Source organism: Homo sapiens, chromosome 12 (genome assembly GCF_000001405.40).
Source record: "Homo sapiens chromosome 12, GRCh38.p14 Primary Assembly".
Taxonomy (NCBI): domain Eukaryota; kingdom Metazoa; phylum Chordata; class Mammalia; order Primates; family Hominidae; genus Homo; species Homo sapiens.
In genome coordinates this window covers 117008852-117034467 of record NC_000012.12, presented here as the reverse complement: position 1 = coordinate 117034467, position 25616 = coordinate 117008852, and the positions used below count along the sequence as shown (strand labels likewise).

At 46.7% G+C, this 25616-nt stretch overlaps 1 protein-coding gene across 8 annotated transcripts in view, besides 5 other annotated features; it reads right to left on the bottom strand.

Moving 5' to 3' along the window:
- Positions 1–3319: 3319 nt before the first annotated feature.
- Positions 3320–25616, bottom strand: part of FBXW8 (F-box and WD repeat domain containing 8) — a 120199-nt gene continuing 97902 nt past the window's right edge. For 6 of the 8 annotated variants that reach the window (XM_024448937.2, NM_153348.3, XM_017019176.2 and 3 more), the window contains 4 exons: positions 24018–24145; positions 10148–10321; positions 6964–7074; positions 3320–6440 (listed from right to left, as the gene is read on the bottom strand). In XM_024448937.2, coding sequence (XP_024304705.2) covers positions 6296–6440; positions 6964–7074; positions 10148–10321; positions 24018–24145 — 558 coding nt within the window. In that variant the 3' untranslated portion in view covers positions 3320–6295. Of the gene's footprint in view, positions 6441–6963; positions 7075–10147; positions 10322–24017; positions 24146–25616 lie in introns of those variants that run through there. The other 2 variants (XR_001748654.1, XR_007063065.1) reach the window with 1 other exon arrangement.
- Positions 8753–9288: an enhancer, noted in NCBI's record as "H3K27ac-H3K4me1 hESC enhancer chr12:117462985-117463520 (GRCh37/hg19 assembly coordinates)". NCBI's record gives its function as "activates a minimal SCP1, AML or CMV promoter by ChIP-STARR-seq in primed H9 embryonic stem cells {active_cell/tissue: H9 hESC(primed)}" and the evidence as "EXISTENCE:reporter gene assay evidence [ECO:0000049][PMID:30033119]".
- Positions 8753–10343: a biological region, named in NCBI's record as "BRD4-independent group 4 enhancer GRCh37_chr12:117461930-117463129".
- Positions 9144–10343: an enhancer, noted in NCBI's record as "BRD4-independent group 4 enhancer chr12:117461930-117463129 (GRCh37/hg19 assembly coordinates)". NCBI's record gives its function as "activates an origin of replication core promoter dependent on BRD2, P300/CBP, MED14 and CDK7 cofactors, and independent of BRD4, by STARR-seq in HCT116 cells {active_cell/tissue: HCT116}" and the evidence as "EXISTENCE:reporter gene assay evidence [ECO:0000049][PMID:35650434]".
- Positions 9289–9824: an enhancer, noted in NCBI's record as "H3K27ac hESC enhancer chr12:117462449-117462984 (GRCh37/hg19 assembly coordinates)". NCBI's record gives its function as "activates a minimal SCP1, AML or CMV promoter by ChIP-STARR-seq in primed H9 embryonic stem cells {active_cell/tissue: H9 hESC(primed)}" and the evidence as "EXISTENCE:reporter gene assay evidence [ECO:0000049][PMID:30033119]".
- Positions 24000–24751: an enhancer, noted in NCBI's record as "OCT4-NANOG-H3K27ac-H3K4me1 hESC enhancer chr12:117447522-117448273 (GRCh37/hg19 assembly coordinates)". NCBI's record gives its function as "activates a minimal SCP1, AML or CMV promoter by ChIP-STARR-seq in naive H9 embryonic stem cells {active_cell/tissue: H9 hESC(naive)}" and the evidence as "EXISTENCE:reporter gene assay evidence [ECO:0000049][PMID:30033119]".

Sequence of the window (25616 nt, the reverse complement as noted above, 5' to 3'; positions counted from 1 at the left end):
AGTTCGTCCTTTGAGGGCCACAGGCCGTGGGTGGAGAAGACTGAGCAGGGGCGGCATCCTCAGCCTGCTGGACGCCAGGGGAGGTCACCTCTGTCCATACTCTTCAGCCATCTGCCAGGAATAGAGTCGAAAGCGGGCTGAACTCCTAATATCGCCGTATTACCAAGGGGAAAGGTTGGCTTTTGGATGTTGAAAGAATATGGCAATTTGACACAAACACTCTAATTTGGTTGGTTTACAAAAGGGCCGTGTGATGGAAATGGAATATGAGGAGCTCAGGGGACACACTGCAGCCACGTTAAGCATGAATTATGGATAAGGGAACGGAGTAAGATGACAGCAGCTTCCAGCTCTGGCCAAATACCCGCATAGGGAACGAATTATTGCTAGACTTTAACAAAACAATGCTGTTGTTTTCTGAGCCAAGGGACTGGAAAGTTCTTTTTAAGCTTTGCTAATGGGAGACAGGTCATCTGTGGATCTGATCCTTGTCATGGAGCAGTTGAACCTGTCCCCACCTGCCTGCAGTTAACGAGGCTGCGGCTGAACTCTGCTGTGCTGGAAACGGCGCCGTGTGACTTAAGTAGGCTGATGGAGAGTTAAAAATACAAGTTGCCTTGGCAAGGCTTTTGCAAACACCTGCCTTGCAGGCTGTCCTCCCACACAGCGACCTTGGGAAAGCCAGGAAGAGCTGAGTAGGGGGAGCACCGCACTTCCCGGGGCACTGGCGGCGTCTCTGTCCTCTTGCAGAATTTGCACATGTGGCAATCAGCAGGGGCTTGGTGGTGGACCAGCCTGGTCCTAGGAGGACTCACGACTCTGAGGAGGACGTGGTGGCTGCTCAGCCCTCTAATCTGCTTGTTGACCAAGTCAGCAAGGGACTGGGTTCTAGTCTCCCAGAGGAAGGGCCGGTGCCCCAAGAGTGGCTCTGATGGGGTGGCAGTGGTCAAGGGGCCCGCTGAGGAGGTAGCTGCCACGTCTATCTTAGAGAAACGAAAAGGCAGCGTTTGTCCTAACATTGGGCGAGGGAAGAAAAGACACGGCTTGACAGCTCAGCCTGGGGGGGCTTCCCCTTCCCTTCCTAGGAAAAGACACGGCCCCCAGTGCAGAGCAGTCAAATGGCTGCTTCTGGAAGCCCACGCTGGGCATCAGAGGCCGAAAGTGGGCTGGGGACAACATGGCACCCGCCAGAGCCCAGCAAGAGGGAATCTGCCATCGCACATTAGAGGCAGCCCTTGTCCAAGTCGCCACAGGCCCCTGCAGCGGTAGCCAGGTAACCATCTGGCCCGGCTGCACGGGTGACGTGGGCCGGCCTGTGTGGCTCACAGCACCTCGGCCCGGCCGGCCAGCGCCGTGAGCTCACTGCTGCTGCAGCTGCTGCTCAGAGCGAAGGCTCCGTCAGGCAGTGGGAGACGGCCCTGTTGGAGCCCCTGTGGTGGCCCGCCTGGAATAGCCGCGGGACAGTTGTTACGAGAAGGCTGGACCCTCACCAGGGGAAGCCGTTTCTCAGCAACTGTAAACAAAGTGGGTTTGCGGCGGCCAGTGTCTGCCATCTAACACGTGTGGTGGGAAGCGCTAGCCCCTGAAACGTGGGGCCTCTAGCTCTCAAGAGGGGGTTGGGGGTGAAGGACTTCATCTTGGGGGTGTCAGCCTTTCCTTTCAGAAAGGACCAAGCCCTCTCTTGGGGAAATTCAGTTTCCCTCCGATCAGCTGAAACCCTAGCGTTCAGCCGGCGCAGGGAGTTGTGCTTGGTAGGAGAAGGTGATGCCGTCCCTGGAGTATCTCTGAAACATAAATTATTGCCTGGGCAACAGCAGCACCAGGGTGGCACATGGCTTGGGTTACAAAACACACTCTAGTGGCAGAGATGAAATTCTCAGGGGGGCTGTAGTCCCTTGGAGAATCTGATGCGAGGTAACCACGCTTTTTCCCAGAAAATGCCCTCATGCACCATTTCACACACAGTGGGTCCTTGAATAGCATCGTTTTATTCAATGTCATTTTGTTATAACATTGAGAAAAAAATTGATTCCCGGCTGGGGCCACTGTCTGTGCACCGTCTAGACGTCCTCCCGGTCGGAGAGCTTTCTGGGCACTCTGGTTTCCTCCCACGCCCCAAAGATGTGCAGGTGAGGTTTGTTGGTGTCTGGTCGCAGTCTGAGTGTGTGTGGGGGGTGAGTGTGCCCTGTGATGGGAGGGCATCCTGTCCAGGGTGGTCCCTGCCTTGCACACTGAGCTGTTGGGATAGGCTCTGGTCGCCCACCACCTTAAACTGGAATAACTGAGTTGGAAAATGAAAGAAGGAATGAATAAAAAATTATTGTAAAATAAAAATTGCCTCCCATAACCATACAAATGCACAATAGTAAATGACGCTGTACGGAAGTGCCCAGTGAGCCCGTTCATTCTGGTGTTTGACCTGCGTGGTGGAAGGAGGCGCTCCTGACAATTTTTGCTTTGCAAACATTTATTCTGTGATATAACTCACCATCGCTGCAACTGCCAGCACTCAGAGTCACCAAAAATTGGGTAATTATCTTGTTTTTAGTAATTTTTCTTAAATGTATGTATAACTAACTCATGTCTATTTAATGTTTAATATTAGAAGTGTTTGGTTTAAAGTTCTAAAGTTTGGTGAAGTTTTTATGGCCAGCAATATGCCGTGGGAACTTAACTCTTGTTTACATCCATTAGCCTATAGTAAAATTAGTTTCATTATATATCATTTTGCTTAAAGTTGCCATTTCTTTTTTTGAGACGAAGTCTCGCTCTGTCGCCCAGGCTGGAGTGCAGTGGTGCGATCTCAGCTCACTGCAACCTCTGCCTCTTGGCTGCAAGCGATTCTCCTGCCTCAGCCTCCCGAGTAGTTGTGATTACAGGCACACGCCACCAGGCCTGGCTAATTTTTGTATTTTTAGTAGAGATGGGGTTTTGCCATGTTGGCCAGGCTGGTCTTGAGCTCCTGACCTCAGGTGATACGCCTGCCTCGGTCTCCCAAAGTGCAGGGATTACAGGCCTGAGCCACCTTGCCCAGCCAAAATTAGTTTCATTATACCTCATTTTGCTTAAAGTTGTAGTTTCTAAGAAAACCTATTGATGACGGTTGGTGAAGAGTTACTGTACCATGTTGCGGGTCTCCTGGATCCTGGGCTGGGAGCGCCTGTAGGGGAGGTTCTGGGCAAATCCAATTGACTGTGGGTTTACAAAACCACCACGGTGGGAGGTAAGATTTCAAGGGGGTGGGAAGAGCTGGAATCGTGGCATGCCAGGGGATTATCACTGTATGCCTTGCCCAAGTTAAAATAACTTGACCAATAAAGAAATTCAAAGCATTTAATATTAGAACAACTACGGACATCATAAAGCAGAAAGCAAGTCCGACAGTGTTTTGAGAGGCGATATGAGATCTTCAGGTGTTTCACCATCCAGCTCCCCTGGCAGCATGCTCGAGTATCTTCTACCTTTAGGGGAGCCGGGGATGGAGGCGTCCCTGAGAGGGACTAAAGAAGGAAAGTAGAGGATCAATTGGCTAAAAACTCAGAACTTGTTTGTGAAAGGGTCTGGATAAAGGTAAGGGGGCTTAATTTGGATACATGTTGGCTTATAAAGGAGCATTTATCCTTTCCCTGTCAGTGTGATTGATTCCAGGATGTGGAGGTTTGCAGTAGAAAACACTGCCTGAAGTTGGCGTGCTTGAAGATGACAGCTTGAGTCCAAAAAATTCTCCTTTACAAAACCCAGGCGACTTCCACGAATGGCAGGTACGTTAGAAACAGGCTCTGCGGTGGGAGGGGCTACACTTGGGACATTTTTACACTGGGCCAGCTGCTGGCTGCTCTAATTCTGGGTCTAATGACTTTACACTCCGTTATCTTTAATTGCTGCAAACTAGGAAGGGCGAATGCGCCTGCAAAATGAACTGGGAACGCAGACTGAAGGGGCTGCTTTTTGAAAAGAAAAATATTTTCCCCAGTGGTCCAGACGCATTAAGACTATGAGAGAGAAAGGGCGGGGCTTGATGAAAACCTTCTAAAGCGAGGCCACCAGCGAGCAGTCTGACCACCACATGACATGATGAAAGTAAACAAAATCCTGCATTTGCTACCTACAGGCCATCTCCACTTAGGAAGTTATCTGGTTGAAAGGAAGCAGAAAACCCTCCGGTCCATCTGCCTGCAGGTAGGCAGGGTCTGAAAGAAAGCGCTCTGGACGGGAAGGTGACGCTTCCCAGTCGCAGCTCTATCTGCTCCGTTCCCCTGTGTAGTTGGAGATGAATATGGAATGGCTGCGTATCTTAAGCAATCTGAAAAACCTTCCAGAACCTTCATGACGTGAAGGTTCTAGGCTTTGGAGTAATGGCAAGCACTTCCCACTGATACGTACACGTGTGCAACTGAGAGGACTCGGTTTTCTCTGGAATGAGTGTGGACAAACGGTTCCCATGTGGTAGGTACTTCTGCATCCTCAGGTACCTTTTCTCTTCCTCATAGACCACTGTACCTTTATGTTTTATCAAGAGTTGTATATTTTGTCTTTTTTTTTTTTAAACTGCTTTTGGGCTGGGTACAGTGACTTACACCTGTAATCCCAGCACTTTGGGAGGCTGAGGCAGGCAATCATTTGAGGTCAGAAGTTTGAGACCAGCCTGGCCAACATAGCAATATCCCCCGTCTCTACTAAAAATGTAAAAATTAGCCAGTTGTGGTAGCGGACGCCTGTAATCCCAGCTACTCAGGAGGCTGAGGCAGGAGAATTGCTTGAACTCGGGAGGCAGAGGTTGCAGTGAGCCGAGATCAGGCCATTGCACTCCAGTCTAGTCTAGGTGACAGAGCGAGACCCCACCTGAAAAAAAACAAAACCTTCTGGCTTTATATTAACTAACTATTGGTTTTCGATTCCACTGATGTCTGTTTTTATCCTGATTTAACCCCTGCCTTCTGCTGCTTTGGGATTGCTGCTACCTTTTCTGAGCTGAGGTGCCAGCCCCTCACAGCCCCTCCCAGCCCCATCCCCTGGGTTTTGTATTCTGTGCTTTTACTGTCAGCCCAGTCTAGAGAGTTTATAGTTTGTTTTTATTAACCTCTTTAAATCCAAGTAAATTCAGGAGTGTCTGGAATTGTCTTATTTTGCTTTTTGTTGATTTCTCACTATTCTGCATTGGAGTCAATTCCTAGAAAAGCAGGGCCCTGCCTGAGGGTATAGCCCATAGGGTGCAGTGTCTTGGGGTTGGGGGATTCTATAATTTGGCCTGTATGGTGTGAATCTTTGTGCATCTGAGCTGTTCTTTGTGGCCTTCGTACAGGGTGGTTTTTTGTGCATCGTCTATGTGTATTTGAAATTCCATACGCATCTACTGGATCCAGCTTGTTAGCGATACTAAGTAAATCCTCCAGATCTTTACATTTTTCTCACTGATTTGCCTGCCGTGAGAATGGATTTTATTTCTCTTTGTAGTTCTATCAGTTTTCGCTTTGATATTCTGAAGGTATATTAGGTGGATGCTGTTGCTGTTTAGAACTGTTGAAAATCAAGAGTAAGGCAATGGCTTGCTTCCAGAATACTTTGGAAATGGCAGCTCTGTATCACACTGAACAGTTCTCTCCTGTCCTGTTTCATCTTGATGGCTGTTTAGTCAATGAATATTTAGAAAATATTTGCTTTGTATCACATATCATAGACACAATAGTAAGCAAAATAGTCATTGATGACTAAACTGTATAAGTATATAATTATAAACCATGGTAAAAGCTGTGAAGAAAAAGTACAGCTCTACCAGCTTGCTACTGGAAGGTGGTGGTGGCAAGTGTCACAGAAGAGCACCCCAAGTAAATACAGGGAAAAGGACATGGAGGTTATTGCCTTGGAGGCCAGGAACAAGCACATCCAAAGGCCCTCGGAGGAAAAGAGGTAAGGGGCTGGAGACGGAAAAGACGGCCTGCAGGGCTGGAGCTGGGAGGGCGGACACACAGAAGCTGGCTAAGCAGGGACCGTATAGGACCGCGCAGCGAGATCCCTGAGGCGTCCTGAGGGAGCTGAGGCCAGGGTGGCCAGCTGGGTGGGGAAGGAGGCTATGTTTGAGTTGGCAGCACGTGGGACTCGAGCCCTGGCACACGCCAGCTTGCCCCAGGCGCTGGGGGAAGTGCAGGGGTCAGGGAGATGCGTGCTGTCAGGCATGGCACCCTGGGCTGCTTTCTTCCCCTAAATGTTTACCACCTGTGAAGAGGTGCCTGGCGTTTTAAGATGGATAAAACTGGTTCTTCCCATTTTTCTCCTTGCTCCCAACTGAGGCACATCCCTAAACATGGTTATAGGGAAAGGCCAGTGCGAGGTCGTAGTAGTGAGTGGCCATGGCGTCACAGGATGAACGGCAGACAGGGAGAGGGCTCTGGAAGGCCAGCTGGTCCACCGCAAACTCATAGGCGCGGATCAGCCCCCGGTGTCTAGAAAGAGCACAAAGATGGTGACAGGTCAGGGCTGCCTCGCTGGCCCTCACCCCAGCCGCTTCTGTCTGTGCAGGAGGCGTTCGCCTGAGACCAGATAGAGGTTCAGCTTCACAAACGCGTTCTCTGGGCACACAGCGTCAGATACTCACAGTCCCCGGCTTAGCGGTCAACGTGGGGGTGCACAAGTCCGATGGGCGCAGTGAGTGTCACAGGGCAAGGACTCAAGAGGGCGGGCCTTGCCCCTGACAGGATTCTAACCACAGCAGGCCCCTCAGCATACGGCTTGCCCTCCCTCTCTGTACAGCCGACAGCGTGGACTCGCCCCACGGGGCTGTCCTGCATCAGATGCTGGGTGCTCAGTACAGGTCAGCATCCACGTTTATGTTTCCAATTCGCAGAAAGGCAGGGCCCTGCCTGAGGGTATAGCCCATAGGGTGCAATGTGTCACGGCGGGGGGGGTGGGGTTCTATACATCAGTCAAACTAAGATGGTCTCTTACTCGCCCGGCCCCACCACTAACCTCCTGTGAGTAGTGAAGCTGTCCAGGTCGGCGTTTCGCATTACCGTCTGGTAAGGCACGTTGGCCGTGATGAGGCTGTGGCTGCTGAATGAGATGTGCTGCACCGGGTGCCTGGAAGGCAGTGGGAGAGAGCTCGTAAGGGGGCGTCCACTGGGCCTGCACTTGCTGCCGCAGGCCTGGGAGTTCAGAGCTGCAGGGGATTCTAGAACCCATAAAGCTAAGCTTCTCTTTCACAGAGGGAACAGGGCCCCCATGGAAGCAGTGTCTCACCTCAGTTCCCGAAGCTCAGGTGAGCAGGCCACGCTTTGGGCATGACTTTGTAAACAGGTCTGCATGCCCCGTACGCATGCTGGCATCTGCCCCCACAACCTGGTACATTCCAGACATAAAGGGCACACCCTACTGCAGACGAATCAGCCACATGCAACAGAGACTGGCCCATCGCTGCCTCCCTGGGCAAGTCCCTTGAGCTTTCCCAGCCAGGCTCTCCATCATCTATGGAGCACTGGGGGCACGTTCACTGTTGATCCATGAAGGTGCCCCCCACATCCTGCTCATAGGGCTGCAATGACACACGTACCCTGGGTGGTGAAAGCACGTTCGGAAAATCTTGGAACAAAATGGTTCCAAGTCTCTTGAACAGAGGTTTGCGTTCATTCTGAAACTTTCATGCAGTACCGGCTGTGGTCACGGCACTGAGCTAGGAGACACTGGATTAAAAAGATGTCTCATCCAGGTGGATGCCTGGCCCAGGGAGAGCCCTAGCTAGTGAAGAAGGTAAGATGCAGTCCCAGAAAACATGACCATTGTTTCTGTAGCACGAGCGATGTTACAAGCTACAAAGAATGTGTGACCCAGAGTTAAGTGCTGGGAGGAGCAGGAGGTGCTGTGGGCTGGGAGGGGTGCACAGGAGGGGACGAGGCCTGTGTGGGCTGGGCCAGGGCTGCTCTCCTTGACTAAAGCAAAGGATTCTTGGAAGTGAGGGAAGCTGGGAAGCAGTCCCTGCCTCCCTGGGGTTGGGACACCCACAGAAGGAAAGTGTTGGTGGACCTGGCATGGGACCTGGAGGATGAGAAAGACCCGGGAAGGGAGGGCAGGCTTGGTGGAGGCCTGCAGCCTGGAGGACTGAAGGAAAGTGTTGGTGGACCTGGCATGGGACCTGGAGGATGAGAAAGACCCGGGGAGGGAGGGCAGGCTTGGTGGAGGCCTGCAGCCTGGAGGACTGAAGGAAAGTGTTGGTGGACCTGGCATGGGACCTGGAGGATGAGAAAGACCCGGGGAGGGAGGGCAGGCTTGGTGGAGGCCTGCAGCCTGGAGGACTGACGGCACCCTGTCAGGCAGGCGAGGACCTGGGCTGAAGAGACTGAAGCGGACAGCGGGAGGTACATGACAGTGACCAAACAACAGCCAGACTGGGGCCTGGCAGCAGGCACTGCAGGTGAGGCCTTGAGCAAGTCAGTGAGTTCTGGGCAGGAGACCATGTGTCTGTCAGCCTTGTGCTGGTGAAAACAGTGACCACGTGGGGGACAAGCCTGGACCGCACAGGGACAGAGGCAGTGCTGGGACAGGGCCACACCTCTGGGGAAGGCCTTCCTTAGCTAGGCTTCATCTCAGTGGCCTGTCCCAGGGAGTGAAGCTTTGCTGAGAGAAAAATGAGATCTACTGGAGTTGGGGGCTGGCAGCCATCCCTGAGGACCTGGATGGCTGATCCAGGGTTTTCCTCAAAGGCAATGCTTCCGGGAATTTCAGTGCGGGAGTTTTAGTTGCCGTTTGGCACCACCTGGTGGCAATTCAGTGCATCACCATTCAGAAAAAGGGCCGAGGCGCCCTCAACAGGCACAGCCACAGCGAGGGGGCGGGCCAGGCAGTACCCAGGGCTCTGTCTGATAAAATGTGCCGGCCACAGTGTTTGCCAACACTGCCCTCCAAGGAAGAAGCCCATTCTGCATGTAACCCTGCCGCCTCTTGGAGACACCTGTCAAATTGCTGACCTTGCACTTCCATAAAGACCATGTCGCTGCTCAGAGGTTGTGTTCTCAGAGGTCGGTTTACCTTGATTTGCGGTAAGTGGGGAACAAATCTTAGTTCCTGTGGGAGGGCCTTGCCCTGTTTCTGCTCTTCTATGTTGTCATGCTCAGAGGCCACTGGCCCAGAATCATCTCGGTTTTGTAGAGATGGGGTTTCATTCTGTCACCCAGGCTGGAGTACAGTGACACAGTCACTGCAGCCTCAAACCCCTGGCCTTGAGAGCTCCTCAGTCTCCTGAGTAGCTGGGATTACAGGTGAGCCACGTGTCTGGCCGAATGTCTCTTCACAGTGGTGCTGAGGGCAGCAAGCGAGAGGGCCGGCTGCCTTTCTCCCCACCTGTCTCAAACGCAGGGTCTCCTGTTCGAGGCCTGCAGGGCCAGGTAGAGGTGGTGGCAGGTGGGCTCAAGTCAGCTCTGATGAGCCAGCCCTGGGCTGGGCTGCTGCTTTGAAGGTCAGAAGCAGGCTCACTGGAAATGTCTTAACCAGTTAGGTGCCACTGGCGTAAACCTACCTACCTCTGTGACGCCATCAGCCTGTGCTTAGGATAGTATTTATTTATATTTTGAATAGTGGTGTTAAAGGTGGAAATGACAAATTCCTCCTTCGTTGGAGCCTGAACCCCTTCAGTCCTAAGTGCTCTTCTCTGTAAACAGCATGAGGAAAGTCTAAGCAACGGGCAGAACCATGGTTACACATGACGGACTCGAGTGGAGGACAGCAGCTGGGCCAGCCCTGCCTTCCACCTGTGGGCAGGTGGGGTGTCACATCCTGGTCTAGCCCAGCGAGCTTCCTATGTTTTTGAGTTCCCTTTTCTGTTTATTAAGATGGAGAAATCCTAAAATAATCAGAATAGCACTTGCAAAAAAGTAGTTTCATTCTTAGAGAAAGCTGGGCCTGGCTAATGTAGGAATTGTGGCGATCTGAATGATGTCAGAGACAGGAACTGCATCCCCACTGACCAGCGCCATTTCCAAGCCTGTTTCCTCCTCTGCAGAGCGGTGCTGGGACAGCAGCTGGCTCCTAGGGTCACAGTAAGGATTCACCTGGCGAAGCCGGGGGGTAGGGGGCATTTAGCACCGTGCCTGGTGCAGGCTGATTAGTGCTGCCTTCCCTGTTCCTACTAGGAACTCCCAAGAGTGTCTAGAATGCACCTTACCCGGAATACACCTCCCACAGCTTCTGGTTCATCCGATAATCCCACACGGACACCAGGCCTTCCTCGCCTCCACTGACGATCTTCCAGTCATCCATCTGCACAGCAGAGACCCTGAGCTGATGGGCGGAGAGCGACAGGGCGATGTTACCACTGCGGAGGTCGTGGATCCTCACCCTGGACAGGCCCAGGAAGAGCAGAGAAGGGAAATGGGGTTAGAGTCAAAGCTTCAAATGACAAACTCCCCCTCCACGGTGCTGGTCTATGCACAACACTGCTATGAAAAACTCCTCAGCTGCAAACAAACATCGATAATAAGGACATCAAGCACAGACTGTCAGGGAGGACCCACACGGTCTCATCTGAATGGTTTAAAAGCACATGGAGCAAGAAAGACGCAGGCCAAGGACAGTGGCTGCCCACTTTACCTGCTTAACAGGGAAAAGCCACCTGCATGACTGCATGCGCAGGTTGGCCTGAGACGCCTGTCCCAGCAGTAGGTGTACTGCCCAGCACAGTAATTTTGCTGTTGGTAAAATAACCTGTTAAAGGCAAGAGCTACAAAGCCAGACACCCCAGATCCTAACCGGGTGAGGACCCGGTTAGGAAAAGAACACTTTTTGGGTATTTCACTTGACTTTGTAAGTTCATTGCTGTCTTGCTGGAACTGAGAAAGGGAAAGCCTTTATCCTTGATAAGCACAGCAGAGCGGGGATAAGGGTGTGTGTACCCTGGGCAGTCACTTATTGAAATAATTACTTGCCTTATAATAATCCCCATTTCTTTAAGAACCTCTTTAAAAACTACTTTTTATGTATGTGGAATTTTTCACGAGGATAAATTAGATAATGGGACAGAAATCTCGTATCCACTACAAACACCACCCTACTTGGTTTCTACAATAAGCCAAAGGCTAAAAGTAAATCAAATTCATTACATTTAATAAATGTAAAGATGAGCTTAAGAGACCCTGTGATGCAAGTCGAAAAGGAAAAGACAGTCCCTGCCCTGAAAAGAAAGACCCCAGCATCTAGCAAGGAACAGGACAAGCACAAGGATGTAAGATTAAAAACGCACGTCTGACCCAAAAGCTGTGGAGCGACAGGATTCTCTGAAACATGTCCCGTGCCCTGACTCTAGTTATGCAAGCATGCGCACACACGTCAATTTTCCAAGTTCTGAGGGAAAATTATTTTGAACCAACAATTCTATACCTAGCTTAGCTACCAAGTGTGAAGGCATAATAAAGAAAGACTTCTTTTTCTTTAACAGAAAAGGACTCAAAGTGAACTACCTGTGGATACTCTCTGAAAGAAAGTGGCATAGCAAAATACCAGAACAAGAAGACAGATGGCTTAAGTGGGACCTGGTGTGTCTGCTGGGTCCATGGAGGCACACAGGACAAACCTTCCTATTAACAAGAAGAGCTGCCCATGGATCACAAAGTAAAAATATATGCTATGCATGAAAAACACATCTGTAAAGGAGGATGAAAAGATGTTGCAATTTTAATGCTAGAAAAGGCAGAGTAGTTCAAGGCAAAAGCATTCACTGAGAGCACTTAAAACAACGAAGGGGCAGTTTACTCAGTGTTCGGTCAGACCTGGAAAAACAAACTCCATGGATCACATTTCTTTTTATAGGTTTTGTTGTTTATTATTTTTTTTAAAGACAGGGCCTCACTCCCATCACCCAGGCTGGAGTGTAGTGGCACCATCATGGCTCACTGCAGCCTCAGCTTCCTGGGCTCAGGTGATCCTCCCACCTCAGCGTCCCGAATAGCTGGGACTACAAGCACGTGCTACCACACCAGGCTAATTTTTTTTTTATTTTCAGTAGAGACGGTTTTGCTGTGTTGCTCAGGCTGGTCTCGAACTCCTGGGCCAAGGGATCTACCCACCTCAGCCTCCTAAAGTGCCGGGATTACAGGCATGTGCCATTGCACCCAGCCTGTTTTTTTTTTTTTTTAATAGTTTCTTTAGTCACTATAATCTATTCAGAAATTATTTCTATTTCTTGAATTTTTAAAATCTCCAAATCTGAAAACTTAGATGAGTAAATGGCTTTCTGGGAAAATAAGAATTATCAAAACGAATCCCCAGGAGACAGAAAATCCAAGTAGATAAAATAACAAATAGCAGCCTGAGGAAGCCAGCAAGGGGCAACAATCCCTGCAAAAAAAGAACAAGTGACTTTGGCCAGACCTGTTAAGGACCAGCTGCCTCCAGGGCTAAGTTAACTGTTCCACAGCCTAGGAAAAGGAGGAAAGCTTCCAAATTCTCCATGAAGCCAGCATTCTATTACCAAAGCCTAACCCTGAGAGCATGATCAAAGAAAACTACATATCCGAGTGAAACATCAGGAACAGACTCCACAGCAAGATGCCACAGACAAGGGGAATCAACGAAAAACCAGGCAGTCACGTCCATGGAAGCCGAAAGCAACGGGATGAAACGTCACAGCCATTCCAGATGTGGTCTTTAGAAACAGTGAGGCACTGGCACCACCATTACTTCACATCGCTTTTTAAAAACCAGACACAATTAGACAAAAGGAAAAAATGAAAGGTTAAAAAAAATCGGAAAGAAGTGGGTAGACTTCTTATCAGTGAGAAGGGACAGTCCCAGAGAATTCAGTAACACAGAGTCAAATATAAATTTATATGCTAAAATCTAGTTTAAAAATAAATAGAATCAAAGAAAATGTCCCATTTGTAACAGCAGTTAGAGGCAAAATACTCTATAATAATTTTCTCAACTTGGAGCTCTATCAATCACATATATTACACAAATTACAGAGAGCGCAAAGAGTTAAACATAAACTATAAAACATATTCAAAGGAGGAAGACCTTTCTAAACATAACAAAATATGGAAGGTGAAAAAAGGGTTTAACTTTTTCCTATTGGGGGGAACAATCAGAAAGTCAGTCCAATGATAAACTGAGGAAAATGTTTGCAACAAAAAGGGCTAATGTCTTATAATAAATGCCTTCAAATTAGTAAAGACTGACAACCCATTATTAAATCGACAGAAAAGATAAGAAAAAGCAATTCACAGAAAAATACTAATGGCTTTTAAACATGTGTAAGATGTTTAAGTTTGCTGGTAATCAGATAAATTACACAGTAAAACTACAATGCAATGCCACTTGTCACCAATCTACCCAGCAAAGGTAAAGTTTGGTAACATGCCCTACGAGGCACTGTGTGGCAGGGAGACATGGACAGGTAGGTACTCCTAGACAGCTGAGGCGAGCAGAAATCCTTCTCTGGGGAGTGACTTGGCAATATCCAACCAAATACCACATGCACCTCACTTCTGAGCCGGCAATTCCACTTCGAGGAGGTAGCTACACAAGAGTCCACATACACGCAAGGCCAGTCACTGCTCTTAGTTGCAAAAGAGGCTTCTGTTTCAGACAACATGTTGACAGTTCCACTGTAAAACGCTTAAAAATGCTGGATAAAATCCTTTTAAGGGCACTGCTGAGCTCACGTAGGAAGTGACTTCCCCAGGACCTGAGCTGAAAACCAGACAGGAGAGGGTGAGCTGCGACTTCAGGGGAGGGGAGGCTGCTGGCAAGCGCCAGGCTCAGCTCCGTGGTTTCATCAAACACACTGAAGGGCCACCCTAGGCAGGGAGCGGAGTATGGAGACTCCTGCTTTCAATACAAAAGCATGAAAGTATAGTCCCTGAAATTAAATTTGGGAGATAGGCTGGAAGCAGATCAGAGAATGCGTGAATCAGAAGAAAAATGTGAAGAAATTACCAAGAATGGAGCACAAAGAGATAAATATGAAAACTGCGAATGGGGGTATAAGAGACATGAGGGACAGAAGGGGTGGTGCACCACACGCCCCAAGTTCCGGAAGGAGAAAAACAGAGTGCGGACAGCTAACAGCTGATGTTTCCCGAACTGATGAAAGACATGCATGCCGACTCAATGCACACGAATCAAACACAAAATACATATCTAAGAGTATAATTTAAAAAATGGGGAAACACAAAGACCAAGAGGTCCTAAAAGCAGCCTGAGAGAAAAAGACATTACCTATTAAGGAAAGATAATTAGACTGACAGGAAAAATCAGACACATTTTAGCTGTCATGAACTGGAATGACGTAGGTGACACGATTAACTAGCTCTTCAACTGAGTGCTAGTTAAAGCAATTATGGTACATCCATACAGTGGGACCCGGGGCAGAACTACACAGGCTGACTGGCAGCCGTGCGCACAGGTGTGTGCTGGGGGACATGCATTTAGGCTGTGCGTGTGTGGGCGGCCCCCAGAGAACGCTCAGCATTTAAGCAGTCGCAATGAGGGAGGCTGACAAGGCTGCTGGGAAGAGGGGTGCGCTTCGCCCTCTAGGCTACTCTGCTTTTGAGGCCCATTTTGAATGTGCGTACTTCCTGTTTAAATAAAACCAAACAATTTTAAAGATCAAATTCTGGAAGCACGTACTTGAAACATTAACAACAATTACCTTGGAGAAGAAAGAGGGCAATAAAGGCGGCTTTTGTGTTTTATTCTGGACGCTGCCATGTTTAAAAAACAAGAATTCATTCATGACCGGGAGGCCTTCAACAGTCACACTCTCTTTCTTGAGCTGAGAGGTGGATGCGCGGGCATTCTCGGTTACTCTTGAAACTGTATGCGCACCTTATATACACTCCCATACATATGTTCGGTTTCATAATTAAAAAATAATACTTTCATCTATTTCTTAGAAAAGGTGAAATAAAACAGGATGGAACAACACGTCGTTTTAGGACACAGAGGAGAGACTGTTTCTTCTTCCTGCTAGGCCATGTAACTGACAAGGCAACCCAAGTGAATAGATATACTCAACGCTGGGAAACAGGTAGCACAGCAAATGGGCACCAGAATATGCCAAGACAACCGATTCCAGGGACAAGTTGAGAGTTCTCTGTATAGAGAACATAAAATTCTATGTGGCCAACATTAACAAGCCCTTCGGACTGGCCACTGAACCTTTCTGGACCAGCATTAGATGGTCTTGAAGAGGTCTGCTAGATCCAAAATTCTGAGATCCATAACAAGTCCATCCAGTGGACACAGATGATAATGTATAGATGATACATAATAGGTCCGTTGCTACAAATGCTGCTCAGTCCCTGACTTGCCAGTGAGGGATCTGGGAGCAGAAAGATGCAGAGAGAGCTTGAAGATGACTTTGTAAACAAAGGTCTCTCTCTGTCACGTTTACAGACACCTATCCTTAGGCATGCGTAGGTAAGAGAAGAGAAAAAGTATAAATGCTGTAAAGAGAACTCTAACCTTAGTCCATAATGGGAACTTGAAAAGGATTGGGGAAAGGGGGAGCGGAAGTGTTTACCAAGTACTTTTCAGTGCATATTTGGTTAATCAGAGTCTATTCAGCTATGGTGATTTCCATAAAGAGCTCCTCTGTTGAATATTTATACTCCATAATTTACAGTTTGGCTGTTAAGGAGACAAAGGCAAACACAAATTTGGTCCAGAAGTTCAAAGTTTGCCATCTGTTTTCCTATTGTATTTAGATACCAGCATGGATGGCTCCAAACAAAATAAACAAATAAACCAAAAGATGCGGCCTCAGTGTATTTTATATCACTAAGGAAAAAAAAATAGGCCAAACCAGCCTTGAATTTCTCCCCCCTGGGAAAAAGGAAAAACATTTTTCTGACATCTCCTTAGAGAAGCACCACTCTGGCTTCTCGTCGACAGAAACAGCAGACAGCACAGTGTGCTAAGTCCACCCAAGCCATTCAGATTCACATGAAGAAACAGGTATCTGCCTCGGACATCTGACAGCGCGCAGCACAGGCCCGAATGCCGTGCGCCTTGGCAAAGCCCGTCGTCAGCTCAGCACTCAAACCAAATACTCGACGCTGGGAAACAGGTAGCACAGCAAATGGGCACCAGAATATGCCAAGACAACCGATTCCAGGGACAAAGAGGAGCCAATGGTAGATATTGTGAATCCCCATCTAGCGAGTATTTCATCAACTTTGCCCATTGAAAGGAAAAATAATTGGTCTGAAAGCTGTAATTGTATTATGTTTAATATTCATGGTTGGGCTTGGAGGACAGTTCCAACACTCCCTCTCTCCAGCCCCTCTCTAATGAAAATCACACCATAGGAGTCGGCGGTAGCCCACCAATTAAAACAAAAGACACCAGAACCTTCCAAAGACTCCAACAGAGGAGCATCCATCTGATGGGCAGGAAAACGTGCTGGAACCGAGAGGGAGGCACGCTCTGGTTGGTCCTGTGTTAAGAGCTCTGAATAACTTATTATAACACTTGCAGATGGAGCAAATGCAACATTTACGCCCCAATCACTCTCTCTCTAACAGCAGGCAGCAGTAGCACGAGCACAGCACACAACTTTATATTTGTCAGGGCAAGAAGCAAGCACTGAGACTCTGTAATTGGGGGGTCACAACTCAGGGCGTGCTTCCTATTGGCTTGGATTAAATACTCCCATATGATAATGAGGAACACCGTAGCTGATGGCAAGCTGAAGCCTATTCAGTGTCTGGCTCGGCAGTTTCATTAAGGAGGACCTGACCTTCTGCTAATATTTCTACCCAGAAAACAAAGAGAACAAGCAATAAGGTATTACAATGTAGGCTTTTTTTATGACCAAATTAATTTTAAAAATAGTATTTTTTTAAAGAAATCAATACATGATTCTGTTTGCTCTCACTGAACCTGGGCTATTAAATATTAAAGAGGATTTTAAATATAACCTTATATGCCAAAATCAATAGCTTTATCTACAAAGCACTGACAATGGCCTTTGGTGAAAGATTCATTTTAAACGGCAACTAGAAAAAAGTGTATTTTCAGGTAGAACTGCCAGTTTAATGCAGCTAGCCTAAGCTTAGTGCTCTCTGTATTTTAAGGCTGTATCTCTGAAGTTTAGAGTTCTCTGTATAGAGAACATAAAATTCTATGTGGCCAAGATTAACAAGCCCTTCGGACTGACTGGTCACTGAACCTTTCTGGACCGGCATTAGATGGTCTTGAAGAGGTCTACTAGACCCAAAATTCTGAGATCCATAACAAGTCCATTCAGTGGACAAAGATGATAATGTATATAATGCCAAGAAAAGGGCACATGGTCCCAAGTTGGAAATACTAAAACATTTAGTTATTAACTAAGTCATGAGTATTTCCTACATCCATACTGTTACTTTCATATACAGTGACACTATTCAACATGCCTGACATTTGGAAGTTTACTGTTACATTACTTATTTTAGAAAGGGTGAGGTATTGTAATCAAAAAGCTGTACAGCGTGGTAGTGCCAGAACACAGACATACAGATCAACAGAACAGAACTGAGAGTCCGGAATAACCCCTCAAAGTTACAGTCCATTGATTTTCAACAGTGGTGCCAAGACAATTGAATGGGGGAGAGAATTGTCTTTTCAACAGATGGTGCCAGGATAGCTGGATATCCACATGGAAAAGAATGAAGTTTAGGTCTCTACCTCACACCATATACAAAAATTAACTCCAAATGGATCACAGACCTCAGTGTAAGAGCCAAAACTATAAAACCCTTTGAAGAAAACTTAGGAGTTAATCTTTGTGAGCCTGGGTTAGGAAATGGTTTCTTAGCTATGACATCCATAGCACAAATGACAAAAGGAAAAAAAAAAAAAAACCAGACAAATAGAACTTCATCAAAATTGAAAACTTGTGTGCTTCAAAGAATACAATGTAGAAAGCGAAAAGACAACCCACAGAATGGGAGAAAATATTTTGCAAATCACATATCTGATGAGAGATTTGTACCTGGGCTATATTAAAAAAATACTCTAATAACTCAATAATATAAAGACAGCCCAATTAAAAAATGGGCTGAGGATTTGGATAGACATCTCTCCAGAGAAGATATACAAACAGGCAATAAGCACGTGAAAGGATGTTAATCACCACTGGCTGTCAGAGAAATGCAAATCTAGAATTCGAGACTGTAGCAAGTGTTGGTGAGGAGGTGGAGAAACTACAACCCTCATCCAGTGCTGGTGGGAATGTAAAATGGTACAGCCACTATAGAAGAGTCTGGCAATTCCTCACATGGTTTAACACAGAATTACCACATAAGCCAGCAATTCCACTCCCAGTGTATTTCCCCAACTGAACTGAAAATATGCATACAAACTTACACATAAATGATAACAGTAGCATTATAATAGTCAAAAGGTGGAAGCAACCCAAATGTCCACTAATTGATATAAAGAAAATGTAGTATATCTGTACAAGGGAATATTACTTGGCCAGAAAAAGGAATGACATACTGATACATGCTACAACTTGGGTTTATCTTAAAAACATGCTAAGTGGAATAAGCCAGTCATAAAAGGTCATAGATTACATCATTTCATTTATAGGAGATGTTCAGGCAAATCCAGAGAAAGAAAGTAGATGAGTGGTTGCTTAAAGCTGGAGGGGATGAGGGAACTGGGGAGTGACTGCTAATGGATTTGGGGTTTCTATTTGGGGTGAAAATGTTCTAAAATGGACTGTAGTGATAACTGCACAACCTTGTGGACCTACTTAAAACACTGAATTGTACAATTTAAATTGGTGAATTATGTGGCATGTAAATTAAATCTCAGTACAGCTGCTAAACTTGAGACCATGGGGGAAAACACTGGAATTTGCTGGCTCAGTGACTTAGCAACCCAGTTACAGCCTGACATTTGCCCTTAGCACCAACTCTTGGTTCTCCATAGCACAGCACGGATAAGCTTCTCCCTGCGAGATCCCCAGTTGCACGGTGAAAATGAGCAGATCACAGATGAGAAGCCTGAGAGCTACAGAATAGGAAGGGCCCTCATTTAATACAGCCCTTGACTGCCAACTACTGTGCTGACTTAATTCACTGAAAAGAAAGGAGGACGTTCTGATTCTGGCCAGAACGGAGTAAGCCCACTGCTGCCTCTCTCCTGCCGACTGCCAGCAAAACCTATGGACAAAACACAAAAACAAACACCTGAGGACTCTGGGGAGTCAACCCAAGCTGATGGATTGCAGAGGAGAGTCAAACCCATGGAAGTGGCTGTACAGGGGAAGAGTTTCCCATGTTTTTCCCTTTTTCCTCTTGCAGCCTTGCCCTGAGTATGGGCTCCAACATGCAGAACTGTGTGGTGGTGCAAGAAGCTAGAACTCCAATAGAAACTCCATCTTTCTGACTAGAGGAACAAAAGGGGGCCCCTGCCGTCCTCAAAGAATAGGGGTGAGGGTTATTGTAGGTTTTTTTCTCTTTCTTGTGGCTGTGCCCCAAGGACAGTCCCCAGTCACATGCTGCATGGTGGCGGCGATGCCGGCAGGTAGAACTCTGATAGAAACCCCATCTTTCTGACCAGAGAACTGTAAGGGATAGGAGTCCCTGAAGGCTGGAAAGTGTAAGGATTGAGAGAGGAGGAATCTCAAGAAAGGGATCCCATAATACTGTGTCTAAACCCACATAAATCCCAGGCTCATCCCTGGGCTATGTGGGACAGATTCAAAGCAGGACGGCAACGGCTTTAAGAGCTCAACTAAGACTGAACCACTGCCAACCCATGTGGCACATGCGCAGACCAAAAACAGCATAGAAATTGAACAGCTTTGGAAAGCAAACTGACATTGGAGTCACCACCCACAAAGGGTAAACAGAACTTGCCGTCTGAACCTAACCAGGGTGACTGCCTGTTCAAAAGCAAAACAAAACAAAAATCATTCGTTGGAGGATTACATAACAGGATCCAGAGTGTATAAAACACAACATCCACAATGTCCAGAACACAATTCAAAATTACTTGACATACCCCAAACCAAAAGCCAAACGGGAAAATGTGACCCTTTCTTAAGGGAAAAGACAATTAACAGATGTCAACCCTAAGATAAGCTAGTTTGGGAACCCTCAACGACTTTAAAGAACTTGTTGTAGCTATATTCCACGAGGTAAAGGTAAAATGCATGGGAATACTGACAGTGACAACCTCAGCAGAGACACAGAAACTATATATAAAAAAAGAAACAAATGGAAATTTTTAACCAAGAAAATATGAAATCTGAAATAAAAGATTCACTGGATAGGCTCAACAGCAGAATGGAGATGACACAGGAAAGAGTCCATAAACCTGAAGTCAGAGCAACGGAGATGATGCAGCCTGAAGAACAGAAAGAAAGGTTTGGGAAAGAACATGAACAGAGCTTTGGTGGCCTGTTGGAAAATTTCACAAGGTTTAATATTTACATTATTGAGGTTACTGGAAGGAGAGGAGAAAGGGAATATTCAGAAAAACTATTTGAGGAAATAATGGCAGGAAACTCCAAATTTAGTGAAAGACATAAATATACAGATTCTAAACGCTTAATAAACCCCAGACAGGGTTTAAACCAAAAAAAAAAAACAAGTGATTACTTCCTGCAGACTTTTCCTTAGTGACTCATTCAAGCTTCTCATAAATGCCCCAATTCCTAAGCTATTAATTCATTGTTGCCTTCAGTGAATATATACTTTCATTTCATTGAAAACACCACTGATGATAATAAAAAATAAATAAATAAATAAATAAAAAGAAAACACCACTGATTCCAAGAAGCATCATTACTTTGTGTAACTTTTAAAAATGCTGCCATTTTATGATGCTATTGTAAAAGTCCATTCTGATTTCATAGATGTGAAAAATTTTTTTTTAATATACATCTTAGAATAAATAGAAAATATACTGTGCTAGGCACCCGCCGAGTACCAGAGAGAGTGTGGTGAGTGGAATGGACATGAGCAGCCAGCCCTAATGCCGACGTGCATCACTCCCCGTACCATTACTCATTGCTCTTTCTTCTTAGTCTTAGCGAGAAGAGACAAAATATGCCTTCAGAAAAACTCATTGATCTACACTGATAAAACTCCTATGCAAAATCTCACTTTTCTCTCCGCTCCCATCTTTACAAGCCTTCCCTCCCAGCGAGGGAAAAGCATACTCTAACATTAACTCAGTTTCCACCCCAATCTTTCTCTTGCTCTTCATCAGACTCTGTTTATTTTTTAGTTTTTCTTTATTTTTTGAGATGATGGAGTCTCGCTCTGTCACCCAGGCTGGAGTGCAGTGGTGTGATCTCAGCTCACTGCAACCTCCGCCTCCTGGGTTCAAGCGATTCTCCTGCCTCAGCCTCCGAGTAGCTGGGATTACAGGCATGCGTCACCATGCGTGGCTAATTTTTGTATTTTAGTAGAGACGGGGTTTCACCATCTGGCCAGGCTGACCTTGAACTCCTGACCTCAAGCGTCTGGTTTTTCTTGAGTGATAGGATAGATCCTTTTTCATTTTTACTTTAAGCTCACTGTCCCCCCACACCCCCAAAATAAAACTCCTTATAAAATTCCACCCATGTTTGCAAACTACTTAAAACTGATTCCCTACTTTAATGAAAACATTTTTGTCTTAATCTGGGGCAGTTTTATGTACCTTTAGAGTTCATCTCATTCCCAAGTTATTTATAAAGCACTAAGAGAATGCAGTGGGAATTAAGTTTTTAAAATAGGAAGGTTCTAGGGTTTGTAAAAAATTGCATCAGTCAGTAAGTGACAGCCAAGGACATAGTTCTCCTCATAATATTTGACCCCTTTCTCCCACTTTTGACATAAAACATAAGCTATACAAGCCTGGGCCAGCATCTCTAATGAGATCTTACTCATAGCTATTAAACCTCCGGGGAAAAAATGTAAGACTTCCCTCTACCACACTTAGTCTAGCTTCCTCATTCCTTTTTTCTAGATGTGCAATTTTTATTAAAACAACAGATTTTAAACCCCTATATTCTAAGCTGCTGACCGAGCAACCCTGACTCAGGGAGTATTCTTACATATGATGGCTGGCCCCTAATGTACCAGCAGTGGGCACACAGCTGGCACTACTCTAGGACTCACACTGGTTAAATGCCAATTTGGATGCCCCACCTCCAACTCTAAGTCACTAGTCTGTTCTTTTCATCCACAGAGACAGAGCGTTTTAAAAAAAAATGTAACATTGGCTTACTAATAAAATGGACTTAACATAGTCAGATTTGGACTGCAAACTGACCAGAGAGCCCTTTGACACTATGCATGGAACACCTCCCTGGCAGTGCGTACATAATGAGGCAGCTTGCTCCAGAGGAAAAGTCAGCTTTACTGAGTGTATACAGTCAGCCCTCAGTATCCACAGGGGATTGGTTCCAAGACCCCCTGCAATTCCAAAATCTACAGATGCTCAAGTCTCCCTTTACATATAAAATGGTGTGGTATTTGCATATAACCTACACACATCCTCCATTAAAAACCATCTCTAGATTACTTATAAGAGCGAATACAATGCCTACACATCGCTTCATTATGATTCAACATAGTACTTGGCTTGCTGCAAATTCAAGTTTTGCTTTTTGGAACTTTGTAGAATTTTTTTCTTAATATTTTTGAAATTATGCAGAAAACAGAGGTTTCTTCTCCACAACACCCTTCTGGTTTCCGGTGAGCCTAACTGTGGCTGAAGATATAAATGTTCACACTGCAAGCAAACTCTGAGCACCATCCACCATCCCAAAGAGCTCTCCACATCGCCTCTCCTCAAAACCAAGCAGCTGCCAGGTCCCTGTGTGGAGATCCTAGGAGAGGAGCTTGGAGCCTCTGTATAGCTCAACCTGAAAACTAAAATGCGGGATTAAAACTACAAACTGACTTGATTCTTTTGCCGTGCCACATGTGGGGCCACTTATCAAGCCTAGTTTCTAAAGAGAACTAGCCCAGTGCGTGCCCCACACACACACTGAGGAGTTCAGTTCTCAAGCACCGGAACATCAGCCATTTTAGGAGGCCTTATTTTTCTTCCCAATAAAGCATACTCACATCATTTCCTTGCTCTAAGTTGGGGGTGGGTATCTAGGGGTGAAGGTTGGGAGGTGAAAATATTATTTGACAGAATAACTATTTTTGCAAGCTGCTGCACTGGCGGGACAGAGGCCTGGGATCTGGCACAGAGGAGTACCCGCCTCACGATCTGACACCCGCCTCCGAGCAGCCCGCCACCTGCAGCCCGGGGCCGGGCCCAGGGGAGGGGGCGCCAGCAGCCCCTGGCCCTCAGCCATGCTACCTCTCTTCAGGGCACTGGATCAGACACAGCAGATAACTGGCCAAAAAAAAAAAAAAAGGAAAAGAAAAAAACAAGGAAAGAAGAGGCGGGGAGAAACCTAAAATTTGGACTCAAAGGGTCTTTTCAAACACTTTAATCCTTTTGTGCTGATGGTTCCTGGGGCGCCCGGGGCTGGCACAGGCCCCTATACCGGGAAAATCCGACTCCCTAAGCCAGTGCATTAAAGAGAAGGCTGCTAATCAGCTAAATAGAAAGTGGAATCTGTTCACATGAAGTCTCTCTTTCCTTCCATCACCAGAGGGACACCACCGTGTTCTGAAATACACTCTTGACATCGTTTGGCAGGAAACCCTATTTTGCTGAACATGATTCATCCCTTAGGTTACTGTTTTTAATATTAGAAAGTGAGCTTTCAAGTGCCAAACAAATTTTGCAGCAGGGGACAAAAGATATTCCAAGTGGTCTCCCTGGACCTTCTACCAACTGCGGCCACCAAATGGCTTAAAAGAAAACCTTCCCGTGGTGCTTCAGAAATGAAGCAGAGACATAGCTACATCCAACTATTACCTAATACAGGACTTTGTTCTCTGAGTCTAGAGTGTTTATGGGATCGGGGCTGAACTCAGGTGGGCAGAGCTGTTGAGTGAGAACCGGGCAGTGTGAGCAGCGCAGTGGGGGCCGGGCCTTGGCAGAAGCCATGGGGCTGCAAGGCAATGCCCTTCCAACTCACGTACCTCCCGTCCATGTTGCCACTGACCATGAGGTTGGGAGGGCTGTCGCTGAGGTTGACACACGTGAAGTCACGGAGAACGTTACCCAGCTTCAAGAGGCGGCGTCCTGCTTCCAGGCTATACACCAGGATCTGAGAGAGGAAGAGAAATGTGTGGGCCCACAATTCCACACACCAGGCCGACATCAAATACTTTCATTTCACCATCGTGGAGGGCATGATCCTTATCACTGAGCTCCCGTGAAGATGTTCTGCCACTTAATTTCCTGATCTTTTTCAGGTTACTGATAGTATAGGGACATGGCTATTAAGAGTGCCAAAAAGAAATGCAAAGGAAGAGAGAAGGAAATCCAGCGAATTCCTCAAGCCAAGGTGCACACTCAGGCCACAAGGAAAACGCAGGGAAATCAGGTATTCTAATTTCTTAACAAAGAGAAAGCCGTCTGGAAACCACGGGGCCACTGACTGCTTCTGATTTGGAATGAATGGGAAAGCTCGCAAAGCATCAGGAAGCTTGCAGATGAGCCAGCATGAGTTCTCATCTGAATTTACGTCACAGGCGGGAAAAGAAAGAATAGTACAAGGACCAGGAAGATGAAGCTTGCATAGCCACTGGATGCTTCCTTCGGACTGAACTATAAACCAAAACACAAACTCACTCCCAAACACTTTTCTCTTCACTCTCTGCTTGCTAATGTTAGGATGCTGTGTTCCATAGGGTATGAAAGTAAATAAGAAGGTACCCCTGATTTCCAGACAATGCACTGTTATATTAGAACACCTCTGTGTCTTCTCTCCAGCAGGGGGAAATTTACGTTTTTTGCTTAAAAAGTATTAATTCAATTCAACTTAATTCAAAGAACATTAAATGCTTCCTATGTGTCAGTCACTGTCGTAGGTGCTGAGGACAGAGTCCTTGCCTCAAATTCACATTCAGAAGGCTCCTCATTAACACACACACAAACACACCAAGTTCTGAGCATACTTTCTATCCTGGAGATCATGTGGTTGACATTTTTAAATTAATGAACTCAGAAGTTTTTGGTTTTTTTGAGGGGGTGGGGGAACAGGGTCTTGCTCTGTCACCCAGGCTGGAGTGCAGTGGCAACATTATAGCTCACTGTAGCCTCAAACTCCTGGGCTCAGCCAATTCTCCCACTCAGCCTCCCGAGTAGCTGGGGCCATGTGTGTGTAACACCACGGCCTGCTGATGATATCTTTCTTTCTTTTTTAAAAAATTTTTTAAGTAGAGAAGCGGTCTCACTATGTTGCCCAGCCGGGTCTCAAACTTTTGAGCTCAAGTGATCCCCCTGCCTTGGCCTCCCAAAGTGCTGGGATTACAGGCCTGAGCCACTGCACCCAGCCAAAGGTTTTTGTTTTTGTTTTTGAGACTGAGTCTCACTCTATCGCCCAGGCTGGAGTGCAGTGGCCGCGATCTTGGCTCACTGCAAGCTCCGCCTCCCGGGTTCAAGCGATTCTCCTGCCTCAGCCTCCTGAGTAGGTGGGACTACAGGCGCCCGCCACCACACCTGGCTAATTTTGGCCAGGCTGGTCTCGATCTCCTGACCTCAAGTGATCCTCCCACCTCAGCCTCCCAAAATGC